The sequence below is a fragment of the Homo sapiens genome, chromosome 2 (assembly GCF_000001405.40).
Source record: "Homo sapiens chromosome 2, GRCh38.p14 Primary Assembly".
Lineage (NCBI taxonomy): Eukaryota > Metazoa > Chordata > Mammalia > Primates > Hominidae > Homo > Homo sapiens.
This window is the reverse complement of record NC_000002.12, coordinates 107,704,485-107,729,058: the sequence shown is the minus strand read 5'-3', so window position 1 is coordinate 107,729,058 and position 24,574 is coordinate 107,704,485. Positions and strand designations below refer to the sequence as shown.

Here is a 24,574-nt window from a genome sequence, read left to right as displayed (position 1 = left end):
GCACCTTTCTTTTTTCAAGAATCTTTTGAGTAAATTTCTGTGGGTCTATTTCTGGATACTCTGTACTGTTTCATTGATCTCTGTGTCTGTACCTCTGACAATTCCACAGAATTTTTTTCATTGTAGCCATACAGTAACGCACAGTGGTTCATGTCTGTAGTCTCAGCACTTTAGGAGGCCGAGGTGGGTGGATCATTTGAGGTCAGGAATTTGAGACCAGCTTGGCCAACATGGAGAAACTCCGCCTCTAGTAAAAATTAGCTGGACATGGTGGTAGACGTCTGTAATCCCAGCTACTCAGGAAGCTGAGTCAGGAACGTCACTTGAACCTGGGAGGTTGAGGTTGCAGTGAGCCAAGATCATGCCACTGCACTCCACCCTGGGCAACAGAGCAAGATTATGTCTTTAAAAAAAAAAAAATTAAAAGCCCAATATATTTAACTCTTCTATTTTATTCTTTTTTTGAAATTATATTAACTATTTTAGTTTCTTTGCTTTTCCATGTAAAATTTAGACTAATCTTTTATATGTCTATAAAAATCTTTTTGAGATTTTCATGAGAATTATATGTCAATTTGGGGAGAACTGACTTCTTTACTATGTTGAATTTTTCAATACTTGAAATACTTTACTGTTATTCTTTGATTTCTTTCATCAAGGTTTATAGTCTTCAGCATACATACAATTTATGTACATGTTTGTTAGATTTACATGTATTTTATTTATTTTGAGTGATTATAAATTATATTTTAAAAACTTTTATCATACATGATTAATATATAAATGCATCACATAAACTAGATAATATTATAAATAATTACAATTGACTTTAAAATATTTATCTTGTACACTGTAAACTTTCTGTACTCATTTATTAATTCTGAGAGTTTTTTTAGAATTCTTTGAAATTTTCTGTGAAGACAATCGTATCATCATCAAATAGAGACAGTTTTATTTACTTATTTCTGATCTGTATGCCTTTATTTTCTCTTCTTGTTTTAGTGCACTGGCTAGGACCTCCAACATGTGTTAAACCAGAGTGCTCTTCTGTTTTCTGGAAGAGATCATACAGATTTCATGTTAATTTTTTAAATTCTTGGTAGCCTTCTCCAGCGAAACCATTTGGGCCTGGAGATTTCTTTTCTGGGCATAAATTACAAACCCAGTTTCCTTAATAGAGAGCTATTCACATTATCTACTTCATAATGGGTGAGTAGTGGCTTATCTTCTCCTGGCTCAAAGTGGTTCTCTCTTTGGTAACCTCCCATATAAGAGGCAGAAAAGCCAGGCCAGGAGAGTGACCTCTTGAGTGGAGGATAACTGGGGCAAGGACTTCTTGAGTCAGAAAAATAAAAAGCAGAAAAAGAAACCAGAGAAAACCATGAAAGAAAATTGTCCCCAAATAAATGCTTTTTATCTTTCTCACATCAAAACAGCTTCTTCTGGCCAGCTGTCCTCTGTTCATTCTAGCTTGTGTTGACCTCTCTGTTGCATCAGTTCTAATTCTGGCTCTGCTACTTGTGTGCTGTGTGACATTAGGCAAGCTATTTAACCCCTCTGTGCCTCAGTTTGTTTTCTATAAAAATAAAAATACCATCAGTATTTTCTTTATATGGTGTGCAAGGATTCAAATGAGTTAATAAATAGAGTTTAAAAATAGTACCTAATGGATATCTTGTTTTTTCAGCACTGTTTATTGAGAAGACTTTGTTCTCATTGAATTGCTTCAACACCTTTTTTTTTTTAGAATAACCTATGACATATGTGTGGGTCTATTTCTAGACTTCTCATTTCCACCAATCAATCTGTATATAATTTTGCAAATAGCACACTATCTTTATTACTGCGGCTTTAGAGTAAGCCTTGAAATCAGGGAGTGTTAAGTCCTCTAATTGTGTTTATCTTCTTCATGATTGCCTTGCTATTTTAGGTCATTTGCATTTCCATATACATTTTGCAATTAGCTTGCCAAACGCTATTTTTACGAAAGACTGATGTAATTTTGATTGGAGTTGCATTATAGATCAATTTGGAAGAGGTTTAAAGTCAACAATATTGAGTTTTTCAATATAAAAATATAGTTCATACTTCCATTTATTTGGCTTTTTGAAATTTTATTTCAGCACTATTTTCTAAGTCTTACACATCTTTTGTTAACTGTATTCCTAGGGCTTCTTTTTAATGCTAATAACAATTCTGACTTTTAAAGCCTTATTTTTCAATCATTTATGGCTACTAGAAATACAATTAATCTTTTGTATACTGATCCTTTAGCCTGTGACCTTACTAAATTTACCTATTAGTTCCAGTGTTTGTACCTTCCTTCTTCCTTCGGATTTTCTATAACACCATCATGTAACCTGCAAATAAAGAATGCCTTACATTTTACTTTCCAAACTTCGCATCTATCTACATACTCTCTCTCTCTCTTCTCCCTTCCTTCTTCACTCTCCTTCTCTCCCTTTCTTTTTCTCTCTTTCCTTTTGTTGATTAATTTCTCCTCCACTCCACCTCTCTCTCTCTCTCCCAATTGTGCTGATTAGAACTTACCGCACATTTTAAATACAAATAGTAAAAGTAATCATTCTTGTCCTGTCCTAACTGTAAGGGAAAAGCTTCAATATTTAAATGTTACCTATAGGTTTTCACAGATACACTTCACCTTCTGTGTATTTTAAAACTTTGTGGGTTTTTTTTTATTATTATACTTTAAGTCCTGGGATACATGTGCAGAACATGCAGGTTTGTTACATAGATATACATGTGCCATGGTGGTTTGCTGCACCCATCACCCCGTCATCTGCATGGTGTTTCTCTTAATGCCCCATCCTAATGCCTCCCCTAGCCCCCCACCCCCTGACAGGCCCTGGTGTGTGATGTTCCCCTCCCTGTGTCCTTGTGTTCTCATTGTTCAACTCCCACTTATAAGTGAGAACATTTGGTGTTTGTTTTCTGTTCTTGTGTTAGTTTGCTGAGAATGATGTTTTCCAGCTTCATCCATGTCCCTGTAAAGGACATGAACTCATCCTTTTTCATGGCTGCATAGTATTCCATGGTGTATATGTGCCACATTTTCTTTATCCAGTCTATCACTGATGGGCATTTGGGTTGGTTCCAAGTCTTTGCTATTGTGAACAGTGCCACAATAAAAATACATGTGCATGTGTCTTTATAGTTTGTGTTTTTAAACTTGCATTATTCCCTTCACAATTTATTTGTGCGATTTCTCCATAGTGATAGGTGTACATCTGTGCCTCCTTTATCAATGCTATATGATATCTCCATAAAAATGTCAGAATCTATTTATACGTTTACCTCTTAATTTATATTTAGGATGTTTCATTGTTTTAAAAGTGCATATAATGCTCCTTTTATAATTCCTCTACATCTTTCTGTAAACTTATGAATGAAGTTTTGGTACATTCCAACACTATTATTGACTTTAACATTTTTAGACCAAACACCCTTGCAAAATTTTTGTGCCTAATTCTACTGCCACTACCTGTATGTAAGAGTTCCTATGCTTTCACAGCTTTCCGAACTTGTTATTATCATATAACTTAATTTTTACCCATCTGATAGTGTAAAATTATACTTTCCTGGATTTTAATTTCACTTCTCTGATGAGAGACTGACACTTTTTAAAATTTCAAAAAGATATTTCACTTTACCTCTTTGGCTAATTTTACCAGTTTCCTGTTGAATTACTTATATTCCTCTAATTTTTGTAGATTTAACTTACATATACCAGATATTGATTCTTGGCCAATTAGATGTGATACACAAGTACTGCAGTCTATAGCTTCTGTCTTTTTATCTTCTCTGTTTCTGTCTCTGTTTTTCTATCTCTGTGTCTGTCCATCTGCCTCTGTCACACAAACACACACACACACACTCACACACAACCACACACACACTTGATGCTGCTTTTGATAAACAGGAGGTTTCATTTGTGAATGATCAGATTTATCAATCTATGGTTTCATAACTTGTTTACAAAACCAGATCCTGATATTACAACGGTGTGATCATTTATTTTCTTTTTAAGTTTAGAAGTTTGACTCTTCACATAAAATTCCTTTTAGTTTATTTCGTATATGAGGGATCCAATTCCCAGATTGGCCATATGGGCAAACAAATGAATTCCTTTAACTGACTGGTCCATCTTCTGTCTGACAGGTAGTGCCTGCTCTGCATATGACGTGTGTTATAAAGGTCTAGTGTGTTTCTAGTCTCTCCATTGTGCTCCTGTGTCCCACCATTCCTTTCAGCTCTACTTTCTTGTCTTCGTACTGTTGCTTCATGTTAGAGTCTCCATCTGTGCGGTCACTTCTAACCATATTGCTTTTCCTTACAATTTTATTAGCTATTCTTAGTAAAATGTATACTCTTCCACATATATTTTAGAATGAATATGTCCAGCTTTAGAAAATTCAAGAAAAACTCTGTTGGAATTTTGATTGAATTTACATTGATTGATTTTTCACACTAATTTAAGGAGAATTGATAACTGTAGGACATCTTTTTTATCTCTGGAAATGGCACCAAGTTCCAATTATTTAGGCATATATATATATTATATATATATATTATATATATATATATATATATATATATAATATATATATATATTTTTTTTTTTTTTAAATTTGAGACAGAGTCTCACTCTGTTGCCCAGGCTGGAGTAGTGGCATGATCTTGGCTCACTGCAACCTCCACCTCCCAGGTTCAAGCAATTCTCCCTGCCTCAGCCTCCCAAGTAGCTGGGATTACAGGTGCTCACCACCATGCCCTACTAATTTTTGTACTTTTAGTACAGCCAGGGTTTCACCATGTTGGCCAGGCTGGTCTTGAACTCCTGACCTCAGGTGATCCGCCCACCTTGGCCTCCCAAAGTGCTGGTATTGCAGGCATGAGCCACCATGCCTGGCCACTTTAATATATTTGAATAAAGCCTTGAAATTTTATTTATCTAGGTGATACACTTCTTTTAAATACTTATTTCTTTTTTACACATACTTTTTTGCTATTATAAATGGTATCTTCTAGAAAAATTACATTTTATTTTGTTGTTAGGTATAGAAATGCCATTGATAACAGAATAAAATGTAATGTATATATATATATAATCAAGTATCTTGATATATATCAAGTATCTTGAGATATATATATATATATATATATAAAGTATCTAGCAAAGTTTCCAAATTCCCTTATTATTTATTTTTTCCCCTATAAGTTCTCTTGTCTATTTTAACAGAAAACAAGATCTGTGAATAATGATAGTTTTGTTTGTTCTTTCCCAATCCTTATACATTTTGGCTTTTTTGTCTTCTTAAATTTTTTTGTGACGATTATGACCTACAGTACAGAACAGTGACTTTGGATGAGAGAAGGAGCTGTGGTTTTTTGGTGTGTGGAGATTGCCTTATGGCTAGTGCATAGTTATCACAATGCTTCTTCTGTGCATGATCAGATGTGTCTTCACTAATTGTTTGAGTTTATCAGTTGCTAACTGTTCTTTTCACATCTTCTATATCCTCACTGACATTTTTGCCTAATTGAAAGCTCTTCCATAAAGGTAGTGAATTTTTTTAAATTTTCCTCAGATTTTCTGTGATATTTTATACATTTTATCTATTTTGAGATTATGTTCCAAAGAACTCACATCTTCTAGAGATATTGGACATCTGTATTAGTCCGTTTGGGCTGCCATCACAAATTACCATAGACTGAGTAGCTTAAACAACAGAAATTCATTTTCAGAGTTTGAGAAGCTGGAAGTTCAGAATCAGGATGCCAGAATAGGCTGATTACGTGGTTATGGTAAGGGCTGTCTTCCTGGCTTGCAAATGGCTATGATTTCCTTGTGTCTTCACATGGTAAGTGGGAGAAAATGCTCTCCTGTGTCCCTTCTTATAGTGCTACTATTCCCGTCATGAGGGCCTTGCCCTCGGTACCTCAGCTTAACCTAATTACCTCCCAAAGGCACCATTTCCCAACACTATCACATTGTGCCCGAGGACTTCAACATAGAAATTTTGTAGGGACACAGTTTAGTCCACAGTTACCTCTTATCTGTAATTATCCTCTCTTTTCCTAATAATGCTTATTGCTGTCAAGGTATCTGTTTCACCTGAAGTTTCCTGTGGTAAGCATTTATCTCTTTGTATTAGTATAGTATAACAGTATAGCATGTAACTAGAGATTTTTTTTTAAAATGGCAATGACTATTGTTTATCGAGGATTTACTCATTTATATTTAATGTGATTTCTCATGTATTTGGAATTATTTTTTATCTTTTTTGACTTAGGTTTCCGTTTGACTATTATGCTTTTAATTTTTCTATTTTTGTTTTTTATTGGGAGTGCTTGATTGAGATTTTATTGTTGTTTCTTGTTTTCTCATCCTGGTTTTGAATTTATACAGCTGTTTCTATTGTTTTAATTGTTACTATTTACACAATGAGTTAGGGTGCATGGCAAGGCTCTAGTATTGGTAGTGAAATCAGATGCTGTCAGATAGGATAATCTGCCAAAATTTAGGTAAAAGATGACCTTATGATCACTTATGAGGCTGGCACTCAGTTGGAAATAGAGCTGAGACTGTCTGCTAACATGACCAATTGGTGGTGAGCCAATCAGTGGTAATTCCTGGAGGTATTGAATCTAGTATTGCCCTATATAGGGTTGGGGAGGGCAGTGAATGAGAGTTTTTAATAAAAAGGGAAACCATTACATGATACAATATAATATTATGCAGAATATTAAGAAGATAATGGAGAGGCCAGAAAGAGCACTTGGATTTGAATTCGGCTCTTTCTGCTACTGGGTAGGTGGTCTTAAGAAAGTTTATTAAACTTTCTGTGCTTTTCTTGTCTTTTCACTTATGAGTCTGAGACAATAGTTATATATGTTCCATAGGGCTGTTATATATGCAAACATAAGGTAGTACATATAACTTGCTTGGAATGGTGTCTGACACATAATTTTTGCTATATCTTAGCAAATGCCATTGATAACAGAATATTTTTAAATATTATCTAAAGGTCAGTGCTGTGCAAGATATAGTCGATGTAAAATGAAAGATCCTTCTCTCAGAGGGCTCAGTCTACTCACTGTCATGGGAGAGGCTAGAGTGTAATCTGTACTATGCCTTACTTACATGTAACAAGATAAGCATTCAAAAAATTATAAGTGCAATAAACAAAGTATAGAAGCAGTTCAGAGGACGAGATGATTAATTTGTTCCCCTTGGGTGAAATGAGGTAGAAATGAGGAGGATTGCATCTGGAGAGAAGATGATAAATTTCCTTTGTGTCATGATAAATGTAACAGCCTTTTGGATGACCAAGAGGCAGTTGGGAAGGTAGGTCTTAAGTTACTGAAGACAGCTTGAGTTCTTTGTGAGCTCCGGTTTCTGATTCAAATGTGTTTCCAGTCCTTGATTTTTTGGACACCTTTATTATTATGCAGAATTAATTGTAAGGTGTTTGAGAAGACTGATTAATGCTAGACTGAATGTAATACTTGGTCCAAGATCCCCACAGATTGCCTTGAAAGGGCAGTCCTCACTTCTCTTATTTTCTTCCTATTTCCTGTACACCCCATACCCCAATGAGGTTGAAAAATGACTAACGTGTTATTGTCTTTCTGTTGGATACAAAGGACGTAAGAGTTCTGTGAATATTAACTTTCTACTTTATAGAGCTTTGTGCTTAGGACCTGTTCAGGCTTGTCCTTTTAATGAAACACTTTGTCCAAACACTTTTATCATTAAAAAAGTAATAATGAATCTGTTACGAGGCCACAGAAGGGGGCAGAAGGTTAATACATGTTAGAGAACAGAAAACAATTCAGCCACCACAGCCAATGAATACAGATTTCTTTTATTCTCCTTGAAGTCACCCACTATATTTTTTAACACCTTTCTCTTTTCTTCCTGAGGTCTAAATGAGAGGAGTGAAAACTGAGGCTTCAACCAGAAATCTCTATTACTTGTACAGCTATGGCAATGATGATGAATGCTTCTAGCACTAACCCAAAAGCACTGTAAGATCTTGCCAAATCATCAGAGATTAAATTCCAATCAGAAGCATGCCTTTTCTCTATTCTGCTTCCTCGGAACCTGAAAATCTACATGTAACTGCAATTCTAAAGTGATAAGATTAATTCCACAAACCACTTACATAAGTCCACCTCATCACCATATAGTCACATCTCACCTGTTATTGCTCTCCGTTAATTAGAATACTCGATTGACTAAGATAATTATATTTCCTGCCCAGGCTCAATGATGACATTTAATTTGTAAAAGAACTTTGATGATTTGGATTTTCTGATCACAGCCCGTCAATTCCTAACGTGAATGGAATCATGGAACCAGAAGGCATGTCCAGCTTGCCACACAAGAGATAGGGAGGTATCAATGTTACAGGAAGAGCAGACCCTAGAGAATATTGAGAAATTATGGGCTTTTTTTTAGGACATAGGTGCTGTAGAAAGGCTATTGGAAGATTTCTAATTTATTTTACCTACAAACATACCCTAGCCCAGTGGTAAATCATAGACTGATTATTTCCCACACTCCCAAAAAAGTACACTTCCATAAGAATACAGCATTCGGCATAAGATTTCATGGGGATTAATTGGACTGCTGAAGTTTGTACAATGACCTCATGTTGAGAACCCTTAATTGAGAGCATTCTGAATGCCAGAATTTATTAGGGTAAACAATTAAATTACACACATGTTATTCAAGGAGTTTACAGTCAATTGGAAGATACAGTAAAGTAGGCAGGCAATTATAACATGGAATGAATTGAGAGAGAATACAAGATGCAATAGGAATCTGTTGCTGAAACGGGGCAGTTCCCTGATCCCTCTTGCAGGATGTGCTAAAGGGATGTGGCTCGTCTGTTCTGTTGCCATGGCTGCCCAAACCCCTTATGGGAGGGGGAGCACGCAGACAGAGAGGCGCAGGAGCCCAACTGGGCATGTGTTACAGTGTGCTCTTTTTGCCTTGCTGTCCACAGACAGCTTGAGTGTTAACCAGCTCAGTGGACTCTGCCTTTCTGCAACGGCAGAGGGCCAGTGTGACAGCTTTCTGTATCCCAAGCTTTTGTCCAGCGTCCCAGAAGAATTGGGTCACACACAGACTTGAAGTATGAATGTGGGGATTTTATTGAGTGGTGGAGGTGGCTCTCAGTAGGATCGATGGGGACCCAGAAGCGGGGATGGAGTGGGAAGATGATATTCCCCTGGAGTCCAGCGGCCGAACTCCTCTCTGACCACCCCCAGTCAAACACCTCTCAGCGTTCAGACGTTCCTCCTCTTCTCTCTTTGCCGTGTGGTTATACCATTCATCTGCTTGTCTCCTTGTCTCGTCGTCTGCTTGTCTGCTCAACTCCTTCTGGAGCCTGGGGTTCAGAATTTATATGGGTATAAAATGGGGGGTCGTGGCAGGCCAAAAGGCAACTTTTCGTGTGTGAGAACAGAAACGCCTATTCTTATTTAGGGCCGCGGGTTTCCAGGCTTGAGGGTGGGGTCTTTGCTGGTGAACTGCCCTCTTCTACCCAGTATTTCTCTCTCTCCTGTCTGTATCATTGCAAGCAATCTTAAAGCCATCTTGGGAGACGGTCAGGATAGACTTACCAGAGGAAGAACTGCATAACAGTTACTTGAAGGATGAGTAGAAATTAGTCATGCAAAATTGGCAAAGAATGTGTCCTCTGTGGACAAAAAAGAATATTCAGTGGCCTGCCAGATGCAGGATAACACAAAATAGTGTTCAGAGAAATGAAAACAGCCCAATATGAGTAGAGCCTGATGCCTTGTAGTCAGGGGATTAGGCCAGAGGTCTGAGCTAGAACCATGTGTTTTGTGTCCTAAAAAGAAATTTGCATTTTTACCCTGAGGTCAAGAAATAATGGTTATATATTTCTTATAATATTCTAGGCTTGTTATGAAAAATAGTTTGAAGGGATAACAAGAGCAAAGGAAGCCATCCTAATTATAATGTGGTGTCTAAGAACGTGAGATATACTGTCAGGCTGTTCAAACTTAAGCCAGGCTTCGCAATTTACCAAGTGCTTTCATTTAAAGACGTTATTTAATGATTATCTCTGTGCTTCAGTTTCCTCATTTGGAAAATGGAGAAAATCATATATCCATGTAGTAGAGTTACTGTGAGATTGAATGAATTAATATGTGAAAAGTGCTTGATACTGTGCTTGGCATAAAAGCTTTTGCTTATCACCTTAATCATCAACATTATGATCAGCTGCAGCATTATGAAAGAGGGTGTCACAGTGTTTAATAAAATCTGTGGCAACCGGGATAGGGAGAAGTACACTAATTAGACAGGTGGACTTGATGGTCTCTGGCAACTGCTTAGATATGGAGGTAAGGAGGTGAGTCAAGGTGGATGCCTAGGTTTCTGCATTGAACAATTAGGTGAAGAATGTTGTCATCATCATACAGACTGAAGGGTAAGAAGATGAATTATTTACTTGCATGCCAATTTTGAGTGTACTTTCATGTGAATAAGAACAAAATACAGTTGGCTCTAAAGACATGGAGCTTGCAATCTAGATCACAGGCATTGACATATTGCCACTGATTTCTGAGTATGTTCTTCTTAAATGTCTTTCATCCTAAAGACGTTTTACACTTTTCTAAAAGTTCTCATTTGATATTTAGGTGATTATGTAGGTTACGTGAGTCAGGTGGTCATATCTGTTTTGTAGAAGGAAAAATTGAGAAACAGAGTTAGCATTTTCCCACATGACTATGTAGCTAATTGGTTAAATAATTGGCTTTTTTTTTTAAACCCTACTTCTTTTTAATTCAGACTTCTAGTCACACACTGTGTTCCCTATAATTCAGGCATCAACCAACTATTAACTAAAGTAGCCCACACTTTTAGATTCAATGGAATTGGCTCAAACCCCATTCCATATGTAGGAAGCTTCTATTCTCTCCAGAGATTGTACGCTTGGTGATATGGCTTATGGATTTTCTATTTACTATGATGCTTTTCTTCTGAATCAATTTTCTTTTATAAGTGCCATATTTTTGAAGCGAGATTCCTAACACTTTGGCTTGCTCTCTTTCTCTCACCTCTGCTTACCTCTGCTTACACCCACCCTCCACCGCCCCGAGTAGTTTTACTGTCTTCATCTTTGTTTCCTGTTAGCTAGACTCTCAGGTATCAGGTTACTGAAACACTTTACAAAGGCATTCTAGCCCCTGTTAAGAGTTGCTATTGTTTTCAACCAGACCGTACACTGTTGATAGTGTGATTTTTCTGAAACCGGTATTTTTGTTTAGTTTTTGAATAAGCTGCAAACTATGTTCATGATATTCTCTAGATATGATCACATATTAATGGAAAGGAAAAAGGTGTATACACACACACACACACACACACACACAGAGTGACACACAACATTCACCAAGTCCTGTTGGCAATACCAAATACAACCAAACGTTTCTTACTTAGAAAGAATAAGAAAATACAGATTTTCTTTTTAATTAACACTATTTAGCCAATGTTATGTTTCCTCTCTCTCCTTCACTATCATCTTTCTTATTCTTTGAACTGACCAATTGGCATCTCCAGAATAACTGAGTCATTAAAGGAAATTTGAAGGTTGGTGGAGATCCAATTAAATCCCAAATGAAAGATGAAAAAGATGTTATGAACACATAAGGCCAAACAAACAACAGCAAAAAAGCATATAGATGTATGTGCCTCATAAATTATGTCTCAAATTTCTTCCTTTTTTACATTTATCCTGTCTTCTACAGATAAAAGTAAAGCAAATGAAATATTATGAAGTATCAAGGTGACACTGTAGAAGCTTAATGATTACTTCAGAAGGATGTTCACCATAAAGATTAAGAAAATTGATTTTGTAAAATGTGATACTATTTTTATAAAAACTACAAATCTGTAAGTATGTATATCTATACTACTATGAGAAAAAAGAAACCTGAAGGGTATATACCTTTACATCAGAATGTTAACAATAGTCACCTGTTTTGAGAAGTATGATTTTTCTTTTTTATTTGTTTATCTTCATTTTTACATTTTACAATGAAAGGACTGTATCTGGAGGTGAATTATTTTTTCTAACACAGAATTTTTGTTTTTTTTAATGTCTTCAAACATTATATTGTTAGAGTTTTTTAAATCTATACATATTATGTTCCAGACATTCTCTTAACCAAGATGTCAAAATTAACATTACAGAAAATACTAATTTTATCAATGTTAATGACATCAGATGCTGTTTGGTGTGAGACACTGGGAAAGACACTGCGTTATTGTTGAAGTATTGCAGTTCTTGCCCCAAGTGCATAACTTCAATTGAATCATAAGACAAAATCAGACAAACTTATGAGGGGTATTCTAAAATGAAACAAGCTTATACTTTGCAAATAAAAAACAAAAACAACAAACAAACAAAAACCCCAAAGGAAACTTGGAGAACCATGTGACACTAAAGTGTACCCTGAAAAAAAAAAAGAAAAAGAAACGGTCTCTGTAAGGAGCAATAATGGAATAATCAGCAACATTTGAAAATGGACTGCGTGTTAGATAATAGTATTGTATCTGTGCTAAAATTTCTGAAATGTGTAACTGCACTGTGATTATGTAAAATAATGTCTTTGTTTTTAGGAGATACAAGCAAGATTATTGAGGGCAAAGGGATAGGATCTCTGTAGGTTATTCTCAAATGGTTGAGTAAAGGAGAAAGAAAAAAGCAAAGAAGAAAGAGAAAAAAGGAAGAAAGGGAGGGGAAAAACAGTTTGTGTCTTAGTTATCTGTCTTAGCTATTAGGTTGAATTCCTTGAGATCCAGGTGGGTTAAATATGAATCTTGGCTGGGCGCAGTGGCTCAGGCCTGTAATCCCAACACTTTGGGAGGCCGAGGTGGGCGGTCACCCATGGTCAGGACTTCGAGACCAGCCTGGCCAACATGGTGAAACCCTGTCTCTACTGAAAATACAAAAACTAGCTGGGCATGGTGGTGTGTGTCTGTAATCCCAGCTACCTGGGAGGCTGAGGCAGAAGAATTTCTAGAACCCGGGAGGCGGAGGCTGCAGTGAGCGGAGATTGCACCACTGTGCTCCAGCCTGGGTGACAGAGCAAGACTCTGTCTCAACAAACAAACAAACAAACAGCCATGAATTTTAATTTGTAACATGTTGCCTTGCAATAATTGATGTCTAGTCTCCCAAATCAGGACTGAATAAATTAATAGCTATTGTAACAGTGGACTTACATATTTTTCTTTTCACTCTTGAGATAGTGAAACAGAAGTACGCATCTGAATGAAATGTATAAGAATATACATAGCAGCTTTATTTATAATATCCCTAAACTACAAATAGCCCAAAAATCTATCAGTAGTAAACTAGGCAATCTGTGGCATATCCATATGATGGAAAACTACACAGTAACGAAAAAGAAAAAAATTACCTACTATTAGACATAATAACATGAATGAATTTCACAGATATATAATGCTCAGTTAAAGAAGCAAGACACATTAGTAAGAAACACAAGAATAGGCAAAATTTATACGTGATGATAGAAATAAAAATAAAGGTTACTGTGGGGGAGGAGGTGGATACTGACTGGGAAGGCTCATGAGGGAGTTTTCCAGTGTGATGTGAATGTTCTATATTTTCATCTTGGAGATAGTTATGAATGTATAACTGTGTGATGTAGAAATTCATCTCATAGTAACTTTAATATTAGTACAATTTACCAACTGTATATTATACCAAGTTTCAGCTTATTCTGAGCTCACCACCAATCCATTTTCTCTTTACTGTGTCTAGCCCAGAGACTTGCATATATCAGATGTTCAAGATATATATTTGGAATGAATAAATAAAATTGTTCCTATCTTGTACCTTATTTCTTTAGGACTCTGCTGCATGTGATAATGGATGTTAACAACTGTTATTTCTTTCTGTTAATACTTTTGGAATAGATCTAAGAATATTGTATTAATCCAAGGAGTGATCCTCGTGACCAAAAACTTCAGTAGCAAGTCTATTGGGATATGGGTGAGATTGGGGCTGATCTTTGAAAAATATCAGTCTTCAAAAATTCCACATATTGTGTTTGTTAAGTGTGATAAATCACATGCACCCAGGTGTGCAGCAAATTCAGTTATCACTTGTGAGAGATATGAAGATGTCAGCACAACATGGCACAGGAGCTGGAAGATCTTACCAAAATGAGATGTTTCCCTATTCAGAGGCCTGAGCTAACCCCAGATTTATCTGGACTGGGTAAGGATCAGCCTCCAAGAGGGTCGGGGGAGAACATGGGGGCAGCCATGAGTGGGGAATTAGACACATTCTGGAATCACAGATCAGGAGGTCCATACAAACTAAATTTTAAAATTCCAAAAACCAGGACCAGGCTTTAGCGTGAAGTTATTGGCAAGGACTAGGCAAGGAGTTCTGAAATTCAGGCAGCTAGATTTCAGTTCAAGACAGAATTAATGTCCAAGTCAGGCCCTGAGATGAAAGCCAGGAACCAGGGGCCCCATCCTGTGAGGGAGCTCAGGAGCTCTGAGCACGGTAATAACATGTCTTGTAGCCCCACGCACCCCAGGTATCCTTGGGTGACTCCGACCTGCTCCCCACTGATGTAGAGAAAGAGGGAGTTCCAGGTACCACAGTGTCAGCTTTTATTCAGCAAGGCCTTGGCAGAGTTAAAGCTCTAAGTATATCTGTCTTGTTTGAAACTGAGAGTTATAAAAGGGACAGAAAATAGATCACTGTGATTGTCACCTACACATTATGTCAATTTTGTTAATGGCCATCCTACATTACCCCAAATTACATTTTTTAATGTATTAACTTTAAATTAACTAGAACATTAAGTTACTCAGAAGATTAACTTTCCAAGACACTAAGTAATATTTAATAGTAAATGGACCTCTGAAATTATTACTACAATGATAATTTTAGAAAAATAACAAGCTAATATACCTTTTGCAGCCTATGCTTTTATAGGGATTCTTTGACATAATTTTTTTTCCATATTTAAGAACATTAAAAAATTTGCTTAATTAATTTGTAGTTTGATACTTTCTATTTTTAAAAGTAATTACCAGAGATAATTTGTCCCTTTTCTTATATTAATGAAAATATTATGATAGGATTAAATATATGGAAAAATCCAATATTCTAGTTAGAAACAAGAAAAAGCATAAAGAATATTCTCTCAGAACTTGAATTGCTTTTAAAATTTGAATAAATTTCCAACGTGTTATAGGTTTGGGGATTTAAAAGCAGGATACTTTTTAGTTGCATATATATATAAAATTTATGTTTCATAAACTGAGTTTATTATATTCAATTATAAAGATGCTTTTGTTCATAATCCAAACGTAGATGAACATATATCTTTAATATGCATATTGGAGAAAAGTATATGAACTGCAGAAATTCTAATTAATTTGGGGATTTGGAGAGTGACATTAAACTTAACCACTTTTGGGGGTTGCTCATACGGCCGTCTACCTCACCTTGGTTTGAAAAGCAAGCACAATTCATCTCTATTTGGAATCTAGTCCTAAAACCGGACAATTAATAGTCTAGTAGACTATTGCTATTTCAGATCACATGTGATTATAATTCTGCAACTGGGCTCTTTAATAGAAGAGAATAATTGGCTCATTTGGTAAATAAATCATTAGGCTTTTGGTTTTCCTTTGTGTATTTATGCAAAACCTAAGCCACATACAATTTGTGGGTATTATTGTTGTTTTATAACTAATCCTGACCTTGGCACTTCAGCCAGGGGTGAATGGCTAAGTCATCTTTGCTCTGCTCTTGTATCCTCAGCATTTCCATATCCCTCTCCTCTCCTCTCCTCTCCTCTCTCTCTGCTCCTCTCCTTCCTAGGTATGCTGCAAAAGGTCATGGTATCACGCCGTAAGTTGTTCAAAGCCCGTTACTACGCTTTGTGACTGCTCAGGTTACAAATACTTGTATTTGGCAGTCCTCTTGTTTGAGGACTTTCACTTTCTCTTTCACGTTACATTTGTTCTTGTTTCCCACTATTGCTATAGTGTATATATATTTGAACATATATAAGGCAGGGCGTGGTGGCTCACACCTGTAATCCCAGCATTTTGGGAGGCCAAGGTGGGTGGATCACCTGAGGCCAGGAGTTTGAGATCAGCCTGACCAACATGGTGAAACCCTGTCTCTACTAAAAATACAAAATTAGCTGGGCATGGTGGCACATGCCTGTAATCTCAGCTACTTGGGAGACAGAGGCAGGAGAATCGCTTGAACCCAGGAGGTGGAGGTTGCAGTGAGCCAAGATCACACCACTGCACTTCAGCCTGGGCGACAGAGCTAGACTCTGTCTCAAAAAATAAAAGAATATATATAAATAGGTTTTTGCACATTGCTTTTAGTACCCTGGGAGAAAGCCCAAACTTGTGCTGCTGTAACCATTAAAGCTGTATACTATTTGCTGTGGCATTATTTGACATCAAGTTACAAACTCTTTGCTTTGAAGGAAGAGTTCTGTAAATTATTGTTACACTCAGTAAACCTCGTTATTTAGGAGGGCAAAGAGCACCTACTCAGCCAGATTCTACACAAAGATTACCATCCCTTGTAGCGAAGCAACATGGGTTCCAGTTGTTCCTGACCTATTCTTACTAAGATCAACACTGGCCACAACTAGACTAGACGTTAAAGGAAGATGAGACCAATAGAAACAAGTGCCTAGCAATTTCTAACGTTTTACTGTGGTTGAAGTGCAGATTACACCCATCACAAGCTACACCTGGATTTTCCTCTGAAATAAAAAAGAACACAGTGTCCTAGGCAATGTTCCATGTGCAACTGAGAAGACTGTGTGCTCTATTGTTGCTGGGTGGACTGTTCTATAGGTGTCTGTAAGGTGTATGTGAGTGGGCATGAACATGCATGGTGAAATGTCACACACACGTGCACACATACATGTGTGCATACATACACATGGACAGAGCTTCTGGCCCATGAAAAGATAGCATTTTTTTCACATTTCAGAAATGCAATGAAAGTATTTTCCAATTGGATGTCTAAATTTACGCTATAATTTACTTACTTGAAATACATGTCTATTGCAAGACAATATTTAAAAGATGAGTTGCAAACATGTACTTGACTTAAGACATTGTGTTTATAAATATAACAGATTAGAAATATCGCTAGAAACCTTATTTTTTAAAGAAAAAAGCCCGTTTACTTATTTCATATTCCTTTTTCAGAAGAATGCCACTTCGAGTATTTCAGAAGGCTATACTAACAGTGCCAATTTCATTATTCAACATGTTTTCTCTAAATGGAAAATAAAAGTTTCCATTTTATATAAAGTTTAGCTAGACTGTATACCTCACATCATATTTAGGTCTCTAAAATTTCAGATCTTGTTTGAAATTCTCACAGACTGGAGAAATAAGATAAAAATGTCTGCCTATAACTTAGTTACCATATAAACACTGACAATTTTTACCCACTCAAAACAAATACATAAATAGAGACTAAGGTGTTGTTTGTTTCTTTGTTTTTCTATACTGAGTGATTTGTTCCAATTTGTTTGTTTCATAGGCAGTTAAACAAAATCCTCAGCTGTACATCATGTACTTCCCACTTCCTCCGTATGGCAAGAGGGCTCTTTCCTCTTTGTACTCTCAATCTGCCCTCTTCCCTGTATCTCTTTCTGTTCATGTCCAACAGGCAGCTTCTGGCTCACTAATGCTCTCAACAATTATATTTGAGATTTGTTTATTTGGGAGTGTGTTGTTTAATTTCCCAAATATCCTTCTATTACTCCTTTCTAATTTCATTCCATTGTTGTCACAGAACATAGTGTCATTTCACTCCTTTTTAAGGTATTGAGACTTGCTTTAAGGCCTGACATATGGTCTACCCTGGGGAATGTTCCATGTGCAATTGAGAAGACTGTGTGTTCTGTTATTGCTGGGTGGACTGTTCTATTTCTATAGATGTCTGTAAGATTTATTTGGATACAATGTTTTTCCAGTCTTTTTTCCAGGTTAATATTCTATGTTATTATATCCATTATTAAAATTAAGATTTTGAAATATCCCACTTATTGAATTGTCTATTTTTCCCTTTAACTCATTTTGTTGGCTTCATGTACTGTGTGCATGCATATATGTTTACATGCATATATGTTTAAATTTTTTATATCTTCTTGATGGAATAACCATTTTACTGTTTAAAATATTGTTACATGCCTCATGTAAGAATTGTTGTCTGAAAGTCTATTTTCTCTGTTATTTGTATGTTTTCCAGCTCTCTTTTTATTACTATTTACATAGTATATCTTTTTCATACATTTGCTTTTACTGTTTTTGCTTATTTAATTTTTTGTTGTTTGTGTGTTTAGTGTTTCCAAGCTAATTCTATAAAATCTGTATCATTGTCAAGTGTGGCCACCGAATTTCCTATTCTACATGTCATCTGTTGAGTGGACAGTGATTTCTTGGAATGCTGGGATCCATAAGTCTCTCAGCCTGCAGGGGGGCTGTGTGTGTGTTGGGGCATGTCTTCAACACTTGGTCAGGCCATTTAGAATGCTGTTTGTACAGAGCCTCAATGTCAGCCAAAGGTGAGAGTAGGGTCTTCTCCAGTCTTTCCTGAAAACACACACAGCCCTATGCACATGTGTGACCTCTAGATTCCCATGAATATGTCGGATAATTTCAAAACCCCTATGGTCATTTTATTTCTCAGCTTTTCTTTTTAAGCTTTTTGGTTAGACTTTTATTTTCCCAACTGTAATCTCTCACTTCAGGCAGTCTTGTTATCAACAAACAATCCCTGAGGAGAGGCTTTTAGAACTAGGTGAGTAGGAGTGAGGAAAAATAAAGACAAGCATATTTAGTGAGGTCTTCCTAGGAGTCAGAGACAGATAAAAAAAATGACTATTCTTTGAAGATGAGGGTTTTCAAGAGCTTGATCTGTTCTCTCTTTCGTACCAAAAATGCAAGCTTTAGTTTTTAAGGCTACTGGAGAGTGGTAGAGGAGACTAGGTTAAGTTAAAATGCAACAAAGCTCACTGTCACTTTTCTTACCATGATTTGCTGGGTTTTTGTTTGTTTGTTTTTAACTAAATTCTCTCTGGGTTGCTGTAAGCCTTTGGCTCTTTTCCAGAGTGTTGACAAAATTGTTTCTAACATTTTTTTTGTTTGTTTTTTCCCTTGCTTATACCAGAGAGAAAATTTTCAGAGATTCTTACTCTTCCACTTTGACTAACATCAATCTAGTTGGTATCTTTGGCTTCATTTTTGAAGGATATCTTTGCCAGGTATAGAATTCTGGGTTTGCATTTTTTTTCAGTACTTGAAAGACTTGTTTCAATATCACTGGTTAATACTTCCTGAAGCAATGTTCATAGTGCCATAAATTCTTTTACCATTTGATTTAAGTGTTTTTCTCTGGCAACTGTCAAAGTTTGATTTTGTTTTGCTTTGCTTTTTTTCTTTTCATCATTTGACTCATGATTTTCTTCATGTTTATTCTGTTTTTAATTTGCTGAGCTTATCATCTATTTGTTAGTCCTTCTGACATTATCCTATAGGCCCTTGGCTTGGCTCATTTTTTTAATGTTTTTTCCTTTTTCATTTATTTTTATCATTGCTGCTATTTCTTTGTTAATTACTATTGATTTATTTTCAATTTGTCTCATAGTTTATTTTAATATCATCATCTATTAAATCCAGCTGGTGAAATTTTAAATATAAAAGTGTATATATTTTTTAAAAATTTTAATTTGCCTCTTTCATATATATTTTAATTTTCTGCTGATATTTTGTCTCTTATTTTATTAGAAGCATGTATACTATTATTATTATCCTTCTCAAGTTTAGTTTTTAAAGAGCATTCGAAGTTATTGTCTGGTAATTCTAACATCTGTGTTAATTTAAGGTTTGCTGTTGTTGATTTTATTTTCCCTTAAGAAAGATAAACCACATTTTTTTGGTTGTTCGTATATTGAGTATTTGGGATTATCTTCTGGACATTGTGAATATTTTGTTGTGGATGCTCTGGATTCTGTTACATTCCTTCAAAGCCTATTGACGATTTTGTTTTAGCAGCTATTTTACTTGGTTAGACTCAGACTGCAGACTGCAAGCTCTGTCTTGCCTGTGGTGGACCACAACATGAGCATCTTACAGTCTTCTACAGGTATGCTTGAGGCCCACCAGAGACTTGGTAACATATCTAGACAAATGCACACATACAAACACACACAGACAAACAAAAACACGCACAAACCCCTATATGCACAGAGTGTGGAATTCTCCTTTTCTGATTTTCTCACTTTAGATTTGCCCCATTACTTTCTAGTAGGTCTGGTGTTTCAAGATCCTTCCCTAGTGTCTCTGGTCAGAAAAATTATAGGCTTTCTACATTGTTTTATCAACCTGTGCTACGTTGTGACTGTGACTATCCTCAGATCAACATCACAGATGCAGGAAATTAACTCCTCATTCTCTCCTTGCTTTCTCTAAATTTTTACACCCCTCAAATACCATCCTGCTTTTGTTTATTCCTGAGAGCCCTAAAGCATGTTTCGTGTTTGTTTGATTGCTTGCTTATTTGTTTTGCCCAGAGTTTATAGTTGTGATCTGCAAGAAATTTGGTTCTTATACACTTATTCCTAGTTTGAATAATTTCAACAGGCTCTGGGGTAGAGGGCCTGGCCCTAGTTGTCTGGTACCTGATCCTGGAATGATTAGATTAGGTGGATAGTGGCCTAAAGCATAAGAGCTCCATAAGGAGGTGGTTGAAGTGTAGACTCTGGATTTGCTTGGTTTGCATATGAAGGTCATGCTTGTGGGTGAGTCCTGTGCTACCTCTAAGAATTGGCTGGCCCTGAGAAGGGCAGTTGTTCCAGGGTCAGCAAGGACCCAAGATTTCAAAGCATCAGGAAAGAAAAAAGACATGCTTGATACATACTGGAACCTGCTTATATATCCGTTTTAGTCCAGAACACATTATGTATCCTGTCCAGTGCTTTTTCCAATCTATATTAATGATGACTTGTTTTATAGTTACATGTTTTATCATTTTTATCCAGTTACCTTTGTGTATTATTGATCTAATTTTAGAAGTTTTAGTATTGAAACATCTTTTGGTTTCTGGGATCAGCCCAACTTTGCTTCATTGTGTTATTATTTTAATTTACTTTCCAATGTATTTGCTAATGCTTGAGTATTCTATAAACTATTTTATAGTTTATAGTTATATAGTATATATAGTTATACAGTTTATTATAGTATTGTATAAAGAATTTTTGCCTCTCAATATTATCTCATGTATATTTTATTTCTTTTTTACGTATTTGAAGCACTACTTTTAAACTTTGTATAATACTCTTCCTGGTGTATATGCCACAGTTAATCATTCTCTCATGGTTAGAAATTTGCAGTCATAATGCTCCTAATTGTTAGGCTTTGAACAACTGTTTCACAAATTTTTTTCCTGGGATTTGGATTTGGTTTTTTATAAAAGTAGTGAGTATTGTGAAAGGTTTGTATGATTTTTCTCTTTCGAGGAAAAGGAGTGTGAAGGATCTTTTTCATTGCCAATAGTTGATATTTTATTTTTTAAACAAGTTTTCCAGTTTGATAGTTGGCATTCATAAAAGTATTTTTTGGCTGGGCATGGGGGATCCTGCCTGTAATTCTAGCACTTTGGGAGGCCGAGGCGGGTAGATTGCTTGAGCTCAAGAGTTCAAGAACAGCCTGGGCAACATGGTGAAACCCTGTCTCTACAAAAAATACAAAAATTAGCAGGGCATGGTGGCCAGTGCCTGTAATGCCAACTACTTGGGAGGCTGAGTTGGGAAGATCTCTTGAGCCCAGAAGGTAGAGGTTCCAGTGAGCCAAGATTGTGCCACTGTACTCCAGCATGGATGACAGAGTGAGACCCTACCATACATATATATATATATATAGAGAGAGAGAGAGAGAGACAGAGGGAGAGACAGTATATATATAGAGAGTGTATATATATAGTATTTATATATAGAGTATATATATAGATACATATATACTCTATATACATATATACTCTATATAGTATATAGATACATACTATATATAGTATATAGATACATACTATATATAAGTATATAGATACATACTATATATAAGTATATAGATACTATATATGGCATATATATACTGTGTATATATACTGTATATATACTCTATATACTCTCTATATACATACTATATATAGTAGGAGTGTGTATATATATATACTCCTATATATATATATGGTAGGGTCTATACTATATATATACACACTATATATATAGTATATAGAGTATATATATATGTATACTATATATATGGTAGGCTGTATTATATACTCTATATACATATATACTCTATAGATATACTCTATATATACTCTATATACTCTATATGTGTATATATGTATATATGTGTATATATGTATATATGTGTATATATGTGTATATGTGCATATATGTATATATGTATGTGTATATGTATGTGTGTATATGTGTATATGTGTATATATGTATATGGTATATGTGTATATATGTATATATGTGTATATATGTATATATGTGTATATATGTATATATGTTTATATATGTATATATGTGTATATATGTATATATGTATATATGTGTATATATGTATATATGTGTATATATATGTGTGTGTATATATGTGTATATATATATATACTCTCTCTCTATATATATTTTTTTTGTAGAGACGAGGTTTCACCATGTTGCCTCTGCTGGTCTCAAACTCTTGGGCTCAAGTGATCCTCCTGCTTTGGACTCCCAAAGTGCTACGATTACAGGAATGAGCCACGGCAGCCAGCCCGTTTATAAATTTTTTAATGGAAACCATATGACTAAAATTAATTACATTATCTCAGGATGACATGGCTTTGTCTTTATATTTTCAAACATTATTTCACCAAGTTATGTGTAAGTGTTGATAATTCTGTATTTTTTTTTTCCTGAACTATTCTGCATTTTCTACATGTGGATCTTTTTTTTTTATAGAATTTTTTTTTAATTATATGTGGGAATAAGTTTGTTCTTCCATTTATGTTTTTAGTTCATCCACAGTTATTATTAGAGTTTTTAAAATATCATTTCTCTCTCTTCTAGAACAATCACTCCATCTTCAATCCTGTAATATTTTATGATCCTCTTCCAGTTTATGAGGCACATTTTTCTCAAGCCTTTTTTTCTTTGTTAACTATCTTACCTGTTTTCAAGAGTTTATTCTCCTAATTGACTCTTATAATATTACTTTTATTATGGAATGATTTTATATTTCTCTTCTGTTTCTTTCCTAATCTGTGCTAGTTTACTCTTCATATATATTTTTTAAATCCTTAACCTGACTGGGTGCGGTGGGTCACGGCTGTAATCCCAGCACTTTGGTAGGCCGAGGCGGGCAAATCACTTGAGGTCAGGAGTTTGTGACCAGCCTGGCCAACGTGGTGAAACTCCATTTGTACTAAAAAATGTAAAAATTAGCCAGGTGTGGTGGCGGGCGCCTGTAATCCCAGCTACTCGGGAGGCTGAGGCAGGAGAATCGCTTGAACCCAGGAGGCGGAGGTTGCAATGAGCCGAGATTGCACCATTGCATTCCAGCCTGGGCGACAAGAGCAAAACTCCGTCTCAAAAAAAAAAAACAAAACAAAACAAAACTGAAACAAAAACTAAAACAAAAAACAAAAGGGCGGGCACGGTGGCTCCCGCCTGTAATCCCAGAACTTTGGGAGGCCGAGGTCAGGAGATGGAGACTATCCTGGCCAACATGGTGAAACTCTGTCTCTACTAAAAAATGAAAATTAGCTGGAAGTGGCGGCGCGTGTCTGTAGTCCCAGCTATTCAGGAGGCTGAGGCAGGATAATCACTTGAACCTGGGAGGTGGAGGTTGCAGTGAGCGGAGATCATGCCCCTGGACTCCAGCCTGGCTACAGAGCTATCTATACTCTGTCTCAGAAAAAAAAAAAAGAAAAAAAAATTCCTTAATTGATCCCTCGTATCTTATATTTAGTTTCTGTTTGAAAGAAACTAATTTAAATATATTTGCTTTCATGGAAAATGATGGTCTTGTTGCTTGCTTTTATTGTTTTTATACATTTTATTTCCTTCAGAGTACTGTTTACTGGTGGATTTTCTTCACTTCTTTTCTTATTTCTTGTGTTTACTCTCTTTTCTTTATATTTTCAACAACTTTGCAAAGGTTGCACAATGGCTACGCTCTAATTATTACTTGTCACTAAATTGGATTGTTTCGAGGTTTGCAGGAAAACCAACCATCCCTGCTGAAATTTGGAAGATCAGCACGATGATCTGAGGCAGACTGTTGTTTGAGTTTTTATTGTGTCTACATAATTTTCAGCTTTGCCTTTGTTTTTTTTTTTAAGAAATGACTTATTTGACACAGTTCCTTATTGTACATTTTATTATATAAATGTAGAAACATACATCAAAGTTGAAA

General features: G+C 35.8%; 1 annotated feature.

The window, feature by feature from the left end:
• Window positions 23,932–24,130: a silencer, noted in NCBI's record as "fragment chr2:108321385-108321583 (GRCh37/hg19 assembly coordinates)". NCBI's record gives its function as "represses an EF-1alpha promoter that drives an FKBP-Casp9 reporter gene in an ReSE screen in K562 erythroleukemia cells {active_cell/tissue: K562}" and the evidence as "EXISTENCE:reporter gene assay evidence [ECO:0000049][PMID:32094911]".